We start from the raw sequence: 19,617 nt of genomic DNA, 5'->3' as shown, positions 1-19,617 counted from the left end.
GTGCCTTAAGTAGGAGTCAGCCTGCTGGTCAACTGCAGCCTGCTGCCTGTTTGTGTAAACAAAAGTTGATTGGAACATAGCCATGCCCATGTGTGCACATATTTCCTATGGCCGTTTTCCCACTATGGGGACAGAGTTGAGGAGTTGTGACAGAGACTGCATGGTCCATAAACTAAAAGCCTAAAATATTTTCTATCTGGCCCTTTATAGAAAAAGTGTGCTGACCCCTGGCTTAAAAACCATAACGGTTTATTTCTCACTCCTGCTCCATGTTAATCAAGAGTCAGCTGGGAGTTCTGCTCCATGTCATCTGTACTGCAGGACCCAGCTGATGGAGCCAACTCTATCTGGAACGATGCTAGTCACTGTGACAGAGGGAAAAGAGCAAGCTCTGAAAGATCTTTCAGCAACAACTCAGTGATATGATTACAAAGTAACATATCACTTTTCTTACAACTCCTGGACCTGAACTATTCATGTGACCCCATTCACACAAGGGGACCAGAAAATACAATCCTACCATTTGTTTATACATGTGCCTGAAAGTGGAGAACTGGGATATTTGCCAAACAGCACTAATGACTACCACAATTAAACTGAGAATCAATCAGTCCAGGTGTTCATTTCCAACAAACATGCATAACCCTGCTGAAATATTGTCCTACTGGGTAGAAGTCTGAATCATAAAAATTCCAAAAGTTGCCCCTAACCCTTCCCTTCGGCTCCCCTCTCACTTGTTAGAGCAACCCAGTACACTGCTTTCCTAATGGATCTAGACTGGAAATCTGACTAACCATCACCTTCACAGTGAATATCCTTCAACAGGGCCCTCCTGTCCTCAAGAAAAACTCAAGCCTCTGTGACCAGACTCTGCCAGCTACTGCAGCCTCCTCTCTCTCTCTGCCACCAGCTCAATTGTGTCAGGCTCTAAGAAGATGGAGTATAGCTTATAAAGAGCCAGGCACATCATACTGTTTCTGTATGCTATCCCTTTGCTCCTGTGGTTTTCCCTGTGTGGAATACTCTCTCCTATTATTCTCACCCTTTAAGACTCAGGACAGTCATTCTCTTGTACACAGAGCCTTCCGTGACCACGAGCTTGCTATTGCACCAGACCCAAACTATCAAAATACCCCAACCACTGCTATCATACCAGAACCAAAGTACCAAGTCACAGGACTTCACCCTGTCAGGTTAAATGACTGCCAACTTACATAGCACTCACCAGGTGCCAGGCAGTTTTTTAAGCACTTTTCATATATCAACTCATTTAGTCCTCATAACAACCTACAAGCAGATATTATTACTATTTTTTCTTTTGTGGATAAGGACACAGAGGCATATGAACATTAATTAATTTGTACAAGTTCCCATAAGTGATAAGCTTCAGAGCAGGGCTATGACCCCAGGCTGGCTGGTGGGCTCTGAGGCATACTCTTAAATCACCCTGCTGTTCGCCACTGCAGGCATACAGGTCTGTTTCCCTTTGGGAATGTAAGGTGTTCAATGGTTAAAAAAATACACCAGCCAGGCACGGTGGCTCACACCTGTAATCCCAGCACTTTGGGAGGCCAAGATGGGTGGATCATGAGGTCAGCAGATCGAGACCAGCCTGGACATCATGGTGAAACCCCATCTCTACTAAAAATACAAAAATTAGCCAGGCATGGTGGGACGCACCTGTAATCCCAGCTACTCAGGAGGCTGAGGCAGGGGAATCACTTGAACCCGGGAGGCGGAGGTTGCAGTTAGCCAAGATTGCACCACTGCACTCCAGCCTGGGTGACAGAGTGAGACTCCATCTCAAACAAACAAACAAACAAACAAACACCAGTACCTCATTTATTTCTGTAACCCCAAGGCCTGGAACATAGTCATTTAGGCAATAGCAGCTGCTCAGCTGGGGTTAGTTCAGATAAAATAAGTAAGATCCTGGGGCCGGGCAAGGTGGCTCACGCCCGCAGCACTTTGAGAGGCCGAGGCGGGGGATCACGAGGTCAGGAGATGGAGACCATCCTGACTAACACAGTGAAACCCCATCTCTACTAAAAATACAAAAAATTAGCCGGGCGTGGTGGCGGGCACCTGCAGTCCCAGCTACTCAAGAGGCTGAGGCAGGAGAATGGCGTGAACCTGGGAGGCAGAGCTTGCAGTGAGCCGAGATAGCACCACTGCACTCCAGCCTGGGCAACAGAGTGAGACTCCATCTCAAAAAAAAAAAAAAAAAAAAAGATCCTGGAATCCCAAAATCAACTTGTCACTAAACAAAGTCCTCTTGACCAGTGACATTTAGCAAGCGGTCAGATCATTACCATATATACCTTTTTCCTGAATCCCAGCCCTTTCTCCAGGGCTGATGACAAACCTGGTAATGGAGAGGCCGGAAGGGCCTGAATTATTAGAAAGATCCTTAGAAAATAAGCTACTGTAAGTTGGGACAAGCATAACCAATCATTCTGAAATGTTTAGAAAATCCTGAATATCTGGGAGTGTGAGAATTTGACTTTTCTGTGGAGAAAACAGCACAAAGCTTTCCTAAAAGTTTTTCTCCCTCACATAATTATGCTTTAAATTGTTAATAGGTATAATTATGGAAGATGGCATTGTGCTTGTAATTTTTCCTATTCCCCTTGGTATTTATTGATGATAAATGGCTTTATTAAAAAATAATGATAATTTCCTTGTTTGGTTGTATATCAATACAGTTTCAGCTTTTGTTTATTACTGCTTATGGAATTTTATGGATTGCCAACATTTAGTTCTTTTATTGGTTTCTATTCTCTTGATGGTATAACAAGGGGGTGGAATTAACAATAATTTTATCCCTTCATTTCCTGACCCTCCCAACCCCATCCCAACTCTTTTAAGAAAGCACTCTAGTGCACTATTCATATGCGGCTACAGGACGGTATGATTTTTACTACTACATAATTAGAACAATTAGCTGTATACCCAAAAACTCTCCTCTAAGGGCCAGTGCCTCACCAAACTGTGGAAAGTGGGATGCTCTGTCCCCACACTGCACTGCACAGAATTAGCCCCCATAGCTCGGAATGAAGCCCCTTCTGCTGAGACCAGAGTTTTAAACCTGTTACATTAACTGCAAGAGGATCAAATAGGCAAATAGTTGATCTCAGTGTTCCCCAGAAGAAAACCCTATTTGGTTTAAGAAATATTTGCAAGAACCATTACAACGAAAGCCACCTTCCCCACAGAGGATATTGCAGTTCTTAGATAGCTTGTCTCAAAGTAACTCCTCTTGGACCTGGTTTGAGTTTTCTCAGGAGACTCACAGCCCTTGAAATGCTAAAAAGACTACATATCTCTTTGTTTATCAACAGCCCTCCACTGGGGAATAGACTGGTTCACGTTCTCCACAAAATGTATGCCAAATCAGATCAATCACCCAAATATAAGTTGTGCATGATTCTTTGAAAACTGCTTTTGGTTTTCATAAGAAAGTGAAGGCCGAGCTTGGTACCAAGAAGAGGAGCAGCATAAGCTCTTGTGATACTTTACGTTTATGTCATACAGTTAGGAAGGAGAGGAATACAAGGAAAAGAACATCACATTTGGACTCAGATCCCATCTGTCCCACCTGGGGTCATGTTCTTAGCTTCTTGGAATCCCACCTCTCTTTCCACAAAAATAATTTTAGCAACATCTGCAATTCAGGCTTGTTGCAAGGACTCAATGGGTTAAATGTCTAGCATATAATTGTTGTTTACTTTATATCATCTAATTTTCCTTTCTTCTAGATCAGTAGTTCTCAACTGGGAGTGAATCTGCCCTCCACCCAGAGACATTTAGCAAGGTCTGGAGACATTTTTTGTGATCATAACTTGAGGAAGGCCATGCAACTGGCATCTAGTGGGTAGCCAAGGATGTGGCTCAATACCCTACAATGCACAGGACGGCCCCCACAACACAGAATTATCCAGCCAAAAATGTCAATAGGGCCAAGATTAAGAAATCTTGTTCTAGACTAGTGTTAAAATAATTCTTTCATTGTGATTGTTTCTTCTCCATAGCTTCTGTCTCTTTAAGTGAGCAAAGATATACTGAAAATCTACCTGCTCAAAGTTCTGTGCTAGGCATATCCTTAACCATCTCGTATATTTGGTTGCCTGCTGCCATTTTCCCAAAGCAATTCACGTCTTCAATTATTGTCCATCCCTATGAATATCAAGCCTCAGCTTCTCTTTTCTTCTCTATGCTGCTTTCAGAGGTCCTGAAATCAGACATGCTATGTGTCAGAGCAAAGACTCGTATTAATCAACATCCAAATATAGCAACAGCAGTTTGAAATTCAAAGAATGGGCCTTGGGGACATCAATATTTGCATGTTCATGATAAATAACTACACATCTGTGCAATGTTCAATATAGTTGGGAGAGAAAAAGAACATTTATGTTGATTTCTGTCAAGTTCCACAACTAAAGGATCTGATATGCTAAAGAAACATAACTGAATTGTCATAAAGATGATTTTAAATATATTTATAATATACACTTATGAATTAGAGACATTCCTGGTTTACTCTGGGATTTTTCTAACCATCAATTAGCTTACACACCTACCCCTAGGGGCAGTGAAATGAATAATTTTCCAGTTTGAACATTAAACATCCATTGCTTTCCTATCTGAATCTGGTCATCTCTACAACTCATATCGACCCTACATGTAATGTTCAAGGCCCAGTTTCATGTTTTCATTCTTCTCACTGTATGTTGCACACATGTGTATCTTTCCATGAGCAGAAGCCCCTGCTAACTATTTACTGTGGGTTTACAACCTGCCAGGCTCTGCTGTAAGTGCTATGTAGTCACAATCTCATTTCATCGTCACAAAACCCTGCAGGGTCAGATGGTATCCCCCACTCCCATTTTACATGGAAAAAAACATTGACACTTACAGAGGTTAAGTAAGCTGGCCAAAGTCACACAGCTAGAAGTGTCTGAATGAGTGTTCACACCCTGTATGTGTGATTCCAAAATCCATGCTCATCACCACTACACTACATTAGGAGGAAACAGACCAGACATCTGGTGAGTGTTCTTTATAAAGAGTTAAGCAGAGGGCACATACCCTTTGACCTAGCAAATCTACCTCAAAGAAGCTATTGTCCACAAATGCTGGTTCATGTGCAGAAACACAAATGTAAAACTATGTTGACTGTTGCATAACTTGAAAAGGAGACAAGAGTTAACAACCTAAACAGGGGAAGCAGATCCAGTCTGTGGAATACAAAGTGGGGAGAATGTAGCAAAGAGTGTTTTCTTATTCATTATCACTTTCCCTTCTTCTTTAGTAAAAGGACTGTGATTTTATTCTGTGTGGCAATGCACCAAGTTAAAAATTACATTTCCTCGCCTGTCCTACAGCCAGGAACAGCTGTGTCTCGTAAATGGTTAACAAACAGCTCTCTCTTACACCATTTTCTCTTGTGTAAAAACTATGGCCAATTTCAAGCTACCAAACTCAAGACAATCGGCTTGCAAAAACTCTGGCAAATGTAACAATTGGCATTCATAACCTAGGGTGAGCTGGCTTTAGCACATGACTGGCTAGTGCTGAGCAATGTAAACAAATAAGTCCCTGCATAAAAATGGGACGGACAACTAGCTAGCATGTGCTTTTTCTTTTCCTCTCCCCTTCTTCTTCCTTCCTGCTTAAAACTTGGATGATATGACTGGAACTCCAGCCTTATATCATGAAGTGTCTTAGAAAATGAAAGCCACAGCTAAAGATGTTGATACAGAAAGACAGGAGAAGCCTTGTCTCTGTTGACCTCAGGAAGCTAACACAAGAGGCTGAATCTGTTCCTTTTTGTAAAAGAAACTAAAACTCCCATTTTAAGCCACTGTTATTTTGATTTTCTTGTTTCTGAGACAGAGTCTCGCTCTGTTGCCAGGCTGCAGTGCGGTGGCACAATCTCAGCTCACTGCAACCTCCGCCTCCTGGGTTCAAGTAATTCTCCTGCCTCAGCCTCCCAAGTAGCTAGGATTACATGCACCCACCACCACGTCCAGCTAATTTTTGTTTTTGTTTTTGTTTTTGAGACGGAGTCTCACTCTGTCGCCCAGGCTGGAGTGCAGTGGCGTGATCTCAGCTCACTGCAAGCTCCTCCTCCTGGGTTCACGCCATTCTCCTGCCTCAGCCTCCCAAGTAGCTGGGACTACAGGTGCCCACCACCATGCCCAGCTAATTTTTTGTATTTTTAGTAGAAACGGAGTTTCACCGTGTTAGCCAGGATGGTCTCAATCTTTTGACCTCATGATCCGCCCTCTTCAGCCTCCCAAAATGCTGGGATTACAGGCGCAAGCCACCTCGCCCACCCCTTATTTTGGTTTTCTATTACACACTACTTAAAACAGAGACCTTCAGACTTTGCTACAACATCTCTATTACTTGTATCTGTTATAATAAAAATGTTTTATTCCAGCATTGTTTACAAAATTTAAAAGGCAAAGATGTTTAAGGGGTAAGGGGTTGGGCCCTTGATTTTGGCAACAGTATCATGAGGGCGGGGGGTCTGGAGGAGACAGAGAAATGACACGCCTGGCACACAAATCCTCACTGTGGGTATGTCCTGACAATGAAAGGGACAGACTGGAATCCAACCAAGTTCACCAACTGCCAAAAAGATTTCTGGTCAAATAAGATTCAGGCGCCTCCTGAGATAAGCCTTCAGTGAAACATCCCGTTTCACTGATGAAACGTGATCAGGTAATGGGGAAAGCACAGGCTATGCCGCCAGGCTGACGTCTCCAACCCAGGAAACACCCAGGAATCCTGACAATGTGGAGGGAAAGCAGCAGGACTTCAGCCCCCTGCCCAGGCAGCAGGGGCTCCCCGATTAAGGTGTCCCAATTAAGGGGACCCCAGAGACGGTATCAAAGAAGTACAAAACAGAATATCGAACCACCACCAAGCATGCGGAAGAGCCAGAAAAGATAGAGACACTCAAGTCTATAGACCCCAATGTACTATCAGAGACAGCTGCAAACAGCAACCTGGTGGTTAAGTCCTTGGCGACAGCACAGACAAATCTAGTGGGGGCTTCATTCACATTCCCCAAGGTGGTCATAAGCACTACACTGAGAGTGACACACTGTAAAATCAATTGTGTGATACCTCTGCCTTTTCTTACACAAAATTACTGCCAAGTCCATTTAGGATTCATCCTTGTGGACCAGGTCAAGTCACTAGGCTTTTAGTACAACTTGTGTGCCCAAAAGTAGTGTGTGTGCTATGGAAGAGATATTAAGCATAGGTCCCTATTCTTAAAGATGCTGTAACCTAAAAGGAAAATGAATTACACATAGAAAAAAATATCTAGAGAACCATCATCTATGTTCAAGCATTGGATGCATATTCAAACCTTGATGTTTATGAATTCAGAGAAGAAAAACAAAATTCTTCCTGGAAAGAAGAAAAACTGCACAGAGAATATGGTCAGGAAGACACGGGTCTTCAGAAAGGCCCTGAAGAATAGATACCATTTGAATCAGAAAAAAATCAGAAAGAATATATTCCATATAGGAAAACAGCACACAATTGGTACTAAACCAACATATTTCCAATGAACAATAAAAACAGTAAAGAGAAGAAAACTAGAGAGGGGTAAGGATAATACTGGACAGTCATGAGTATTAAGCTTGAAAATGAAAAGTGGAAATTGCTCATTTTTCCTTAGAAAAATGCATCAATAAATATTAGCTAGATACCATTTAGGTGCCTGGATACTTGTTCTGGAGCCCCAAATACCCAACTGTTGGCTCCTGGACAATGGGGAGCACCTAAAGGCTGAGGAATGGACTCCACCTACTCATCAGAATTGATGGAAACCCACACTTTTCATACCGCCCCAAATGGGAAGTTGTTATGAGGAGAAGCGACCCAGATTTTTCTAGGCCTCATCTGCTCATAACTGAACAATGTAATAACCAACTTAGGAGTAATGAGCCTGCCCCTTGGGCTAAGATATCTCTTTTCCAGCATATCGCATGCAGTGAAATTGAGTCCACTTTGTGTCCCCCTCACAATGTCTAGTGGGCCTTGAACACAGCATGTGCCCGATAAATATTTGTTTGTGAATTCTACTCATTATGTGAAAAGGCCCAAGCAGGGCCCAAGCTAGGGTTGGTCAGTTGTCCAAGGTGCCAGAGAATCATAACTTAAGGCTAAGTCCATGATATGTGTTCTCCGGGAGGTGGTGGCAGATTTTTCACAATGTTTGATAAAATCGAAGGCAGGGGTACTGGTATTTAACACAGAAAGCAGCACTGGCTTTAAGTTAATGTTTCATATCCAGTAAAGAGGCTAAATATCTATCGTTTTGATAGATTGCTATAAATGAAACATTAGTGGGGCTCTTAAATACCTTGTTTCAGATCTTCATTACCCGAAATTAATCTTGAGCAGAATATCACACCCAATGTGGACTCCATTAAGTAGTCAGTTAGATAACACAGGCCACGCTTTATCTAATAAGGATGGAATCAGGAACGAATCTAACAGCACAATTTTACCACTCCTGCAGCCCAAGAGCATTGCAAGCCAGAGAGGCAGAGAATGTTTTCCAGAAATTCTCAAATATAGCCATCATGCCCCTGCAGGAGGACAGCTTCACAGTCGCTTCTCAAAAGCAGCCTGGTGACCATGCTCAGTGTTCGGTGTGGTCTTACATCTCCACCCTGGGCTCACCTGGGAACTGGGAGAGCTTTGCTCCTCCACACCCGTTCAAGGACTTCCACAGAACCATTAGTTTTGGTGAAGGTTTATCTGGAATTGTCTTCTGCCAACTTCTCTCATTATGCAGAAGCAGACCAAAAGTTCAAAATAGCATAAATTCAGAAGACAGGAAAGGAGAGGAGCACAAAGCTCACATACAACCAATCAGCTGAGCTAAAAGCAAGTTGAGGAAAACAAATGCACATCTCTAAGAATGAAGAGAAGGCAAATCTCCAATAATCTCCAGGAATCCACGCAGCTGCATGCCACATGCATGTTACAGAGGCTCCTGCGCGTCCATGCCACACGCCCACAAGCAGCGATTGACGTGGACTTTACCATTACAGAAGGCGCATGGAGAATCTGGCTAGAGAAGACTGTGTTCCTTTAACCTTCACATTCAACACAGCAAGTAAAGGCTATTTACCCGAAGACCCTACAAAACCTATTTGCTTCAATATGGATGTTTTTGGAATCAGCCTAGCTCAAAATTCCTCCAGTAGGCAAGTTTCTCCAAAATGAAACAAGTATTTCACTCCAGTATACCATTATCATGCATTTCTATATCTAAATATGTTTCTTCCTTTGAGACTGTTGACCCACTTGAATTTCAGCATTATCTACCTTTGTTTCTTTTTTTTTTTTTTTCTGAGATGGAGTCTCGCTCTGTCGCCAGGCTGTAGTGCAGTGGCGCAATCTCTGCTCACTCACTGCAAGCTCCGCCTCCCGGGTTCACGCCATTCTCCTGCCTCAGCCTTCCAAGTAGCTGGGACTACAGGCACCCACCACCAAGCCCGGCTAATTTTTTGTATTTTTAGTAGAGACAGGGTTTCACCGTGTTAGCCAGGATGATCTCAATCTCCTGACCTCGTGATCCTCCCGCCTCAGCCTCCCAAAGTGCTGCAATTACAGGCGTGAGCCACCGCACCCGGCCAGCATTATCTACCTTTCTTAACCAACTAACCATTCATAGTAATCATGGTTAACATGTACATACCAGGTACTCTTTTACATGTTTTGTTTTGTATATACTAATTCAATCATCCTAACAACACTGTAAGATAACCCTATTACTATCCCCATTTTATAGGTGAGGAAACAAGCTCAGGGAGGCAATTAGCTCTCTTACCTGCAGTCACATAGCCATTAAGCGGAAGATCTGGGATCTGAATTGAGCCATCTGGCTCCACCAGTCCTACTTTTAATCCCAACACTATATTGCATTGGTTTCACTTGTTCAGAGTTTAATCATATGAACCCAGACACATAATCTAGAGTGTAATGGTAAGAAAAACCAAGTGTCCCTGGCCATATTTCTCTCCCATTCCTTCCACCTCATTCCCTATTTTCAGTATTCGGCAATTAGGTATTGCTTCTGCCTTGCTGAAATATGTTTTTGACATAAAAATGGCCATAAGATATTCCAGTAAATACAGAATGACCCAAACCAGGCAATGTATTATTTATTTTGACCATGAGGGCATATCCTTAATCTTGACATCTTGGCTGGTTTGGGGCATTTCGCTTGATTGAAAGAAAGGGAGGAGATGAACATTTATTGAGCACTTGCTCACCATGTCCCAGGTAATGTGCCTGGCGCTTTCACCTAGATTGCTCTGTTTAATACCAAAAGCAAATCCACCCAAGGTAACTAATGAAATCCCATTTTTAGAGACAAAGAAACAGACTCAAAAAGGTTAATACTTACATCATGGTCAAGGAGACTCACTTTGGAGGGATGGCACGTGGATTCAAGCCTAAGCCTCATCTAAAGCTGAGTCTATTTCTACAACAGCATGCTAGGTAGTAGATACCCTATCCTATAAAACCAGAAACCATTCTCAGACTTTTTTTTTTTTTTTTTTTGCCTCTGAGCAGTAAGTCTTTACAGATTTACTGGTTGTTAAATGCTACTGACTCTAGCTAATTCCCAAATTAACTAGATTCCTTTTGGAGCTTGTAAAATGTGCTACACACTCAACTTCCGAATTTAGCATGCAAGATGATGACCACAGCAGTAAGAATGGTGCAACTTTCTTGTTAGAACAATGCATGCCTAAAAGCCTCCTTTTAATTTCTACCTTCTTTTATGAGGACTATGTGATCGAGGACACACCTAGGATACTGCATATTAATTTCAACACAGCTAATACCCAAAATGTCCCACCAATTTACTCTTCACTGACAATGTTAAAAGAAAATGATTTATGCAGATCAATCATCTCGCTCATCAAGTCCTACCCTGACAGCCAGCCTTCATCATTGCTATTTAAAAGGCACTGCTGACAGAAAAGACCGACTCTTTGATTAAGGGTCCTGTCTGGCTAACCTTTTATTTGAAGAATGATTGCCGCTGAGTGACAAATACTTTTCCATTCATTTCAAGGCAAAGATATTGACATTCAAATTCTTGATGGCTACACTGAGCAGATGCCACTGTTGGCAAGAGGCATGAGAGCAACAGCAGGTACTCCACGGCTTTGGGGGCAAGGGAAAAAGAATAAAACTAAAACACATGCACGCCGGCGCTGGCTAAAGGTTCTCAACAAGTGAAAGTTGCGGGTCTTTCAGCCAGATCCTCTTTCTTCAACAGTCAGCAAAGGGCATCTGCTTGCAGTTTCGCCCCGGTCTCCATCTCACAAGTGCCTGGCTTTATGTTGACTCTACTTGGAACTGCACCGGCAGCGAGGACTAGAAGTCAAAAGAAGCTCAGAACATGCCATTCCCAACCCAAGGGAAAAACATCTCTCTGTCCGGAATTGCAGCACCCTGGCCGACCTCAGGCTGAAAGTACCGGCCTCCTTTCCGCTTCACAGGATGTTAAGTGACTCAATATAAAGTGGAAGAAGCCGGTGAAAAATCACCCATAAAAAACAAAACAGAAATATTCCATCCCATCTGCTAAAGAGGAAGAAGAAAAAATAATAATAAAAGGAAGAGGTAAGATTGACAAATAGAGTTAGCAAAAAAGACAAACTGAACTTATTTTAAAAAGGTGGTTTTTCTAATTCATTTCAGGTGAATTTAGACCTTGGTCAGCATCACACACACACACCCCCACACACAAACACTGCATTCATATCCTCACAGCAGGATTATTTTGCTTGTTTTTATTTCTTAAATGCAAAATATTACCTTAAAGGAAAGTGAGAAAATTATGGATTAAGGAAGGCTATTTGTGACAAAGGCCATCACAAAGCCTCAAGATTAATCATTTCCAGGAACAAAATGAAAATACCTCAGCAGGTCATCAACAATTCCTTTTAAATCTTGCCGAGATGCAATGTTGGTTCTCACATGCTTCACAAAGGAAAGGGTATCCGAAAAGCTGTAGCTGTGATCCTCGAACACATTCCCCACAGAGGGAGAGGCAGGAGATAGCCAAGACACAGCCAGAACCTTCTCCCCATCACCCCAGGGCCAAACAGGTGACCAGGGCTTCAGAGAGAGAGAAAACCTGGGTGTGAATCCAATCTCTACTACTCATCAGCTGGGGGATTTGAAACAAGTTACCACCTCAATTCTCTGTGATCTCATCTGCAAAATGGGAGTGGTGAGATTGACCTCGCAGAATTAGTTATGAATATTAAAGAATAGAAACTAAATAAAGCAACTTTCCCTTACCTAAACCTCTTTTTTCCTCCTTTCTTCTCCTCTTCTCCTCTTTGCTCACTAGTTTGCATGTGAATCGAATCATCCATGAGGGGTATCAGCAAAAAGATTTACAGTTATAGCCTCGCTTCCCTCACTGTGTTACAATGAGAACAAATAAGATAATGTTCGCATTAAAGCACTTTATAAATCTTAAATCAATACAGAAATGTTTGCTGTTGTTATTGTTGTTCTCCACAAACGGTATACTCTAACCCATTTTGATCTTTTTCCTCATTTATTTCTCCCATCTATATTTCTCATGGTGAATAATAAATCAATAACCAATTAATTAGTCAATAATCATAATATCATCTCCATTCCTGAGAACTACTAGTGGTTGTTTCTGCAGCTGTCTGAAAGGAGTCCCTGGGAGAAATGATGTTTCTTCTATAACAAAAATGTATCGGAGGTTATTATGAGCCAGGCACTGGGACAAAGAGGTGAATGAAAAATGCAAAATTCAGTCAAGTGAGGCAAACAGAAAAATAAAGAAATGATTTCAATATTGCTGCACCATATAAGTTAAATACAAAGGCCAATGAGGAGGTCAATGAGGAAAGGTATGACTACCTGGGGCAATCAGGGAAGATTCTGCTACAGTGATATCAAGGCAAGTCTTCACAAGGTGGAAAAGGAAGAGTGGGTCACTTCGGAGAAAGAGGATGCCAGGTGCAAAGGCATGGAGGCTCAAGACAGATCACCATGCTCTGGCAGGGACAAGGGGGAAGTTCCAATCATACTAAAGAGTTAAGACTTATTCCTTTAGGTAATGGCAAGTTTGAGCTTGAAATTGCTATCATACAGCCTATGGTTTCAAACATGCCCCTGATGAAAGGCAGGACACAACAACACTTGCTGGGTACCCACACAGTGCTAGCAACTGGAGACACACAGATGAGCAAAACTATCCTGACACACTCCCAGGAAGGGGAGCCAGGGAGACTCGCCTGCTCTCAAGCAACCTCTGAGCAGCTGCCCAGTGAGGGGCAATGAGACCCCACTGGCCCTAGTACTTGTGCCTTCTTGTTTGGCCTCAGAACCTGCATGTCATCCCCAGTCTGTTGGGGTGGGTTCTTGCTTTTTTGCTTGACCCTCCTCTTGCATTTCTATGGACTCTGATGTCAACTATGGATAGCTCACATTCACCTTCAGAGCCATGTCCTCCAGCTATTGCTGTCCTGCTTTGACCTGCAGTGATCCTGTGGTCTCCCTGATGGCTCCTGAAAGCATCTCTGTCAGCAGGGAGATCTATATTCCAGGTCTCTATCCCTTACTCTTGGTACTGTACCCAAAGTACAAGGGTGAACATGTGTTCACCAAATCCTGTTTCACTCTCCTTCTCCTGGGCACACAGATGGCAACATTTGACATTCTCCCTCACAGTTGGTTTGAGTTCTAGTCAATATAGCAAAAAAGGGATGTGAGTCACTTCACAGTATAGATCTCCCATACTAGCTACTATAGCCATGACAATAAATGCAATGACTTAAAACAACAGAAATTTATTCTTTCACTTTTATGGGTACAAGGAATCTAAAATCCAGTGTCAGTAGGGTCACATCCCCTCCAAAGGCCCTAGGGGAGAATCTCTCCCTGGCTCTTCCAATTCCTGGTGGCTCCGGCTTAACCATCTTGCCACAGCATCACTCCAATCTCTTCCTATCTTCATATGGCCTTCTTCCCTCTGTGTGTCTCTGTGTCTAGATCTCCTCCTTTCTCTTACAAAGTCACCAGTTTTTGGATCTAGGGTCCACTCTAAATCCAGTATGATTTCATCTCGAGATCCTTAAGTAACTATATCTGCAAAGAATCTATTTCCAAATCAGGTCACACTCTTAGGTTCCAGGTAGACATAAATTTGTAGGGCTGGGGGGGTCACTATTCAATTCACTCCCCCTCCCATGCAACCTTGGAGGTCTCATGATCCAGAAGGTACAGCCACAAGATGCCAGAGCCTTCATCCAGCCAGATCCCTGAGTCACTACAAGAAGCCAGGCTCCCTCAACACCAACCCTCACTGGGCCTATAAGGTGAGCAAGAAACGAAGCCTTGTGGTGTTAAGCCACTGAGATTTCAGGGTTAATTTGTTACAACAGCAGAGCCTAGCCTGGCTTGGCTACCACTCCAAGCATGATGCCCTAGCTCTGCAATTCCAGTACTGTTTATGGGCCCAGGGCTAGCATGCAGTATTTTTATTTGGCTTCAATTTCTGCTCAAAAGCCCTTTTAGGTTGCTCTTGCTGAATGTCCCAGGAATTTCTCCCAGAGCTTTGCTTGGCTTGGACATGACTTTGGGAGGTTTCTTGTTTTTCCTGGGTAGTGTAATTAGGCTTTTGCTGATAATATCACTGTTTTCTCTACTGGTCCCAGAGGAGAATGTGGTGGCCAATGGTAGTTATTTCTTGCTTTTATTGGGGTGGGGGAGAGGGGCAAAAGGGGTCAAATATAAATGTTTTCTAGCTTAATTCATCCAAAACTGAAATGAGAAAAACAGTAGCTAGTGTCCCTTTCTTACAGAAGTGAAAAGAGCACAAGATTTTAGAGTCATGCTGACTTGTGTAAAAATTTCTCAGCTCTGCAAACTTAATGGCTATGATACTTTAAAATATTACTTATTATCACAGAACCCTAGCTCTCCTACCTTTACAAAAGAACCATTTAATACCACCTATTCCAGAGGCTAGCTGGGAGGATTAAATGATACTAGACATACATCTAGCTGGGTGCTCTGATCACAGTCATTCCCAGATAAATGTGAACTTCCCTTATTCCTACAAATAGGCCAATTTATTCCTACTTGGATCCCTTCCCTTCTGGCCCAAGGTAATAGCTAAGTTCTTGTGAAACCATGACCTTCAGCACTGGTCTCAACCCTCTCCAAGGCAGAAAGCACTTCTGCCTTTTCTCTAGTTCATCCTTTTAGATACTGCTAGTCTATTCCTTGGAAATAGTGACAAGATAGTGAATAAACTGACTAATCTCTTTAACCAGGTGAGTGTTGCTCTTAAATATTTCATGAGAGTTCATTTTGATTTTCCAGTTTCATTGAAAGTTCTCTAAAGGTAGGAGTTATGTCTGATCCTACTTCTGTAAACCCCACAGCAGGCAGCACCATGCCAAGCTGACCACAGGTGCCTCCCCCATCCTCATTGATTGACTACAGAGAAAGCAGAGAATGAAAAGTTTCCATGATTAAGACAGGATCTGGCCTCCAATAACATGGATGTTCACAATTAACGGGCAAGTATCAGTGAGCTAGGAATACTCACAGAGCAGGGGGAAGGTGGCAGAAGTTGAAATACTTAAAAAATAGACGGACAAGGCCAGGCATGGTGGCTCATGTCTGTAATCCCAGCACTTTGGGAGGATGAGGTCAGAGGATCACTTGAGGCCAGGAGTTCGAGATCATCTTGGCCAACATGGTGGAACCCCGTCCCTACTAAAAATACAAAAATTATCTGGGCATGGTGGCGTGCACCTGTAGTCCCACCTACTCAGGGGGCTGAGGCAGGAGAATCACCAGAACCCAGGAGGCAGAGGTTGCAGTGAGCCAAGATCACGTCACTGTACTCCAGCCTAGGTGACAGAGTGAGACCCTGTCTCAAAAAAAAGAAAGAAAGAAATAGATGGACAAGAGGGAAGATTCATCTCTACTCTGGGGCTAGGGTGGATCTCCCCAGAAATGAATCAGATTATAGTGTGTTTACTGTTCCCTCCCCTGCTGGGCCAGTTAAACTTACTCTTATAATTGTGTGAATATATAAATTATACATTATACATCATATAGCATATATGTGCATTATATATAACTATTCACTATCTGTGTTATATATAAATATATATTTATAGCACCTGCTTTGTGCTGGACACTATCCTATATATTAAGTCACATAGCCTTCATCATGACCACAACATGTGTTCCACTGTTACTACCATCTTACAAGGAGGAAACAAACCCAGAGAAACCTGCCCCAAATCACAGAACTAGTGAGTGGCAAGACCAGGATTCAGATCCCGGCAGCCTGGCTAAGGCCAGCACTCTTAACCGCTAGACCACAATGCCTCTCAAGTGGGAGCTGGGAGTGAAGTGAAAAAGTAGGTCCCCAGTCAGGAGGGTACCCAGCAGAGGTGGCTCACACACCTAAACAGATTCTGAAGACATAGCCCTTCAACAAAAGCAGCTTGTTGCAGAAGCAGGAGACTGCTCTGCCAGGCACAGATGCCATGGGACAGCTCTGTCTGAGAAAAGAGCTAGTGGCAACCCATGTTAGCAATAACAGGAGCCAGACTGAAGCAGCCCCCAAAAGGCTACCTTTGGTCTGAGATGGGACCAACCCACAATTAACACCCTGAATAGCAGCAGTATGTGATGGCCCAGAGACACACAGCTCTGGGAGATTGAAGACAAAGGAAATGGAAGGGGCTGGGGGAGGTTCCAGAAAGCCTTGTTGGGTCTGCTTTGAGCTTCACATCTTTAATGTTCAAACTGCTGGGGGCAAGAGACAGCCAGCTTTCCCACCAGCCCTGCACAGCTCGGCAGCCTGTACTCTGCACTTGTTTACCATCACTGAATAAATCATTTCCGTCTCCCCCAGCCTTGGCCCTGCTCCCTTACAAACAGAGTAAACCCGGCTCCCCACTCAAGGTTGCCATCAAAAGCAGAGGGCACCAGCTTTCCCTCCCCGGCTCTGCAGCCCTCATGGGCAATGCCCCCTCCTCGCTCCTTAAGCATATCAGAATGAGCAATATTTGACTGTTGATTCTTTCATCTCTGCAGCTTTGAAAACCTCAAACGTCATATCGGATCTACAACAAAGAGCAGGGACTTCAGGGGTTGACAGCACGGCCATAATTAAAGACAACCATCAGTGAGCTGCCATGTTAAACAATGCCACGTTATAGCTGCTCCAAAACCAACTGTTTACCTTTCAGACATTTCTGTGGAAAGGTTTAAACAGGTGCGGTTTAAATTGTTTTCATAAAAGATATGCAAACAGGAGATAGGAACTTTTCTTCTCTCTAAGACAGGGTAAAATGTACAGCATGCAATTCCCTTGCTAATAGTGTCCAATTGATTTACTTAGGGGAACCAATCTCTGGTAACTGATACAAATATGAATCCCAAAATAGCACTGAAAATATTACAGGGATACAGCCAAACATGGAATGGGAAATAATCCCCAAATTTCCATCTTAAGTTCCTTCTGGCCCATGAACCTCAGTTTCCCCCTTTGTAAAATAAGAAGGCTGCATTTCAAGCTTATGTTGGCATGCAGAACTCTTTTTCCAAATCAAGTCCAACAAATAGTACAGGAAAACCTAGTGGTTTCTGAGAGTGGATCAGGGTCCCTTCTTCCTCCAATATGCCCCCAGATGATTTCTAGAACCTTGCGAACTACTGGACTGAATCATCTCTGTGAGTTCTTCCAGGACCCAAATTCTCAAGTTCTCGAGAGAAAAAGCAGCAATAGCAGCAGTTGTAAAAGGCTTTCTCCATCATTGGTCCACAATGCTTTCCTCAGTGTTCAGCATCTAAGTGGCACTGAATGAATGTGGTTCTGAGTTGATCAATAATAAAGGAAGTTGTAAATAGCTTCTTCTCTGCTTCTCCTTGAGTTTGGGGTAAGGTTAATTAATATCAACAGCAAAGGGAAAGAGGCAGATATTAAAGCAAATTATAGTAGCCTCATGGTTTGCTAACTAAACTCCTCAAGCTGGGTATTCATAGCAGGCTCAGTGTCCTGGCCCCCAGGTCTGAGGCAAACAGAGGAGTGTGCTCTCTACACTTTTCTTCTGCCTCAGAATCTTAAGTCAGCATCCCCAAGGCCTGCACTTGTCATGTTTCCAGGTCTACCTCTACGCTGGAGATCTCTAGAGGTTTTGGAGCTCCTTGAAAGTAAGACTGTGAAAAGACAGCCAGGAACATTGCTACCTTGGACAATGCCATAAGAATTGAGGTGGGAACAAGAAGACTGCTCTGTGGAGCCACCAAGAGATTCCTTTGGAGTAGCTCAAACAGAGACTCCTCAGTGGGATGTGGGAGGTTTCCCCACGCACAAGAGCTGCTTACATCCTCATTACATATGACTCACACATGTTCGGGGGACCACTGGACCAGGATCATACTGACTGTGGTTAAGTCCCCACATGGGACATCATGACCCATTATGTTGACCACTAGTGGAATTTTCCAATACCTGAGGATACAACACTGTTAGAATCAATGCAATAAGCTGTCGCTCATTTCTTTGCAAGCTGAAAACCTATTTATAAAAGGAAGCCGGGCACAGTTGTGCATGCCTGTAGTCCCAGCTACTGGAGAGGTTGATGCAAGAGGATTGCTTGAGCTCAGGAGTTTGAGGCTGTAGTGTGCTGTGGTTGCACCTATGAATAGCTGTTACACTCCAGCCTGGGCAACATAGCAAGACCCCATCTCAAAAAAACAGATTTATAAGAGGAAAATCTCCAATGCTTGTTTGAGTCAGACCAAAAGAATTGCAAAGGCTAAATCTGACCTCTTCCTATAAAAATAACATGGAGAATCCTTGTGTGGACAGGCCTAACCTTCTTGATAGGCCCCTCTCAGGAAGGCCCCACAAAATCTACAGTGGAAGAACAATCCACTTCTGTGAAGGAAAAGTTAATGGCCAGTTGGTTTCAATTGACTAGGACAGAGCTAAGTGAATGTAGATAAACCACTTCCCGACTGAGGCTAGGCCAGGGGATCCTCCCCCACACCTCCCACCGCTGATATCATTCTTGAAAGCCTTGTTTCCTTCCAGCCTGGAAAGCTCCATTTTGGAAACAATGACCCTTTATGGAGAGCTTTCATCCCTGCTTAAGTTCTAAAAATCAAAGAGCCAATATGTCTAAGCTGCCCTCAAGGATCTGGGAAAACTGCCGTGGGTACGTTGTTATTTAGTGGTAATATCTTATTTAACTTGTCAGTTGTCTTGCTGTTTTCAGAATGAAACCAGATATAAATAAAGCAAAAAAAAAAGTGTTTGAGATAGGCTACTGATCACTAGTTTATTTTTTGAGTTGAGAAGCCACACAGTTTTCCAAGCATGGTTACATTATGGTAATATGCTTTGTCATAAATCTACTATATCCTTCTGCTTGTCTATAAAACAGTCTGCTCCTCATCGTTCTCAACTTGGCCTGCATACAGAACTTTTAACTTAAAATATCTAACAATATGTCATATCCACCAGATACATGACAGCTA

At 43.1% G+C, this 19,617-nt stretch overlaps 1 protein-coding gene across 3 annotated transcripts in view, besides 1 other annotated feature; it reads right to left on the bottom strand.

Moving 5' to 3' along the window:
* Positions 1–19,617, bottom strand: part of LRMDA (leucine rich melanocyte differentiation associated) — a 1,128,545-nt gene that overhangs the window by 766,081 nt on the left and 342,847 nt on the right. The window contains exon 1 of one of the 3 annotated variants that reach the window (NM_032024.5): positions 11,066–11,327. The exons of the other annotated variants lie outside the window; for them this stretch is intronic. Coding sequence (NP_114413.1) covers positions 11,066–11,112 — 47 coding nt within the window. The 5' untranslated portion in view covers positions 11,113–11,327. Of the gene's footprint in view, positions 1–11,065; positions 11,328–19,617 lie in introns of those variants that run through there. 3 annotated transcript variants of the gene reach the window in all.
* Positions 19,023–19,317: an enhancer, noted in NCBI's record as "tiled region #10683; HepG2 Activating DNase matched - State 6:EnhF, and K562 Activating DNase unmatched - State 22:ReprW". NCBI's record gives its function as "activates a minimal TATA promoter and a strong SV40 promoter by Sharpr-MPRA in HepG2 and K562 cells {active_cell/tissue: HepG2 | K562}" and the evidence as "EXISTENCE:reporter gene assay evidence [ECO:0000049][PMID:27701403]".

This window comes from Homo sapiens, chromosome 10, assembly GCF_000001405.40.
Source record: "Homo sapiens chromosome 10, GRCh38.p14 Primary Assembly".
Taxonomy (NCBI): domain Eukaryota; kingdom Metazoa; phylum Chordata; class Mammalia; order Primates; family Hominidae; genus Homo; species Homo sapiens.
The sequence above is the reverse complement of the archived record's forward strand: the minus strand, read 5'-3'. Positions and strand labels throughout refer to the sequence as shown.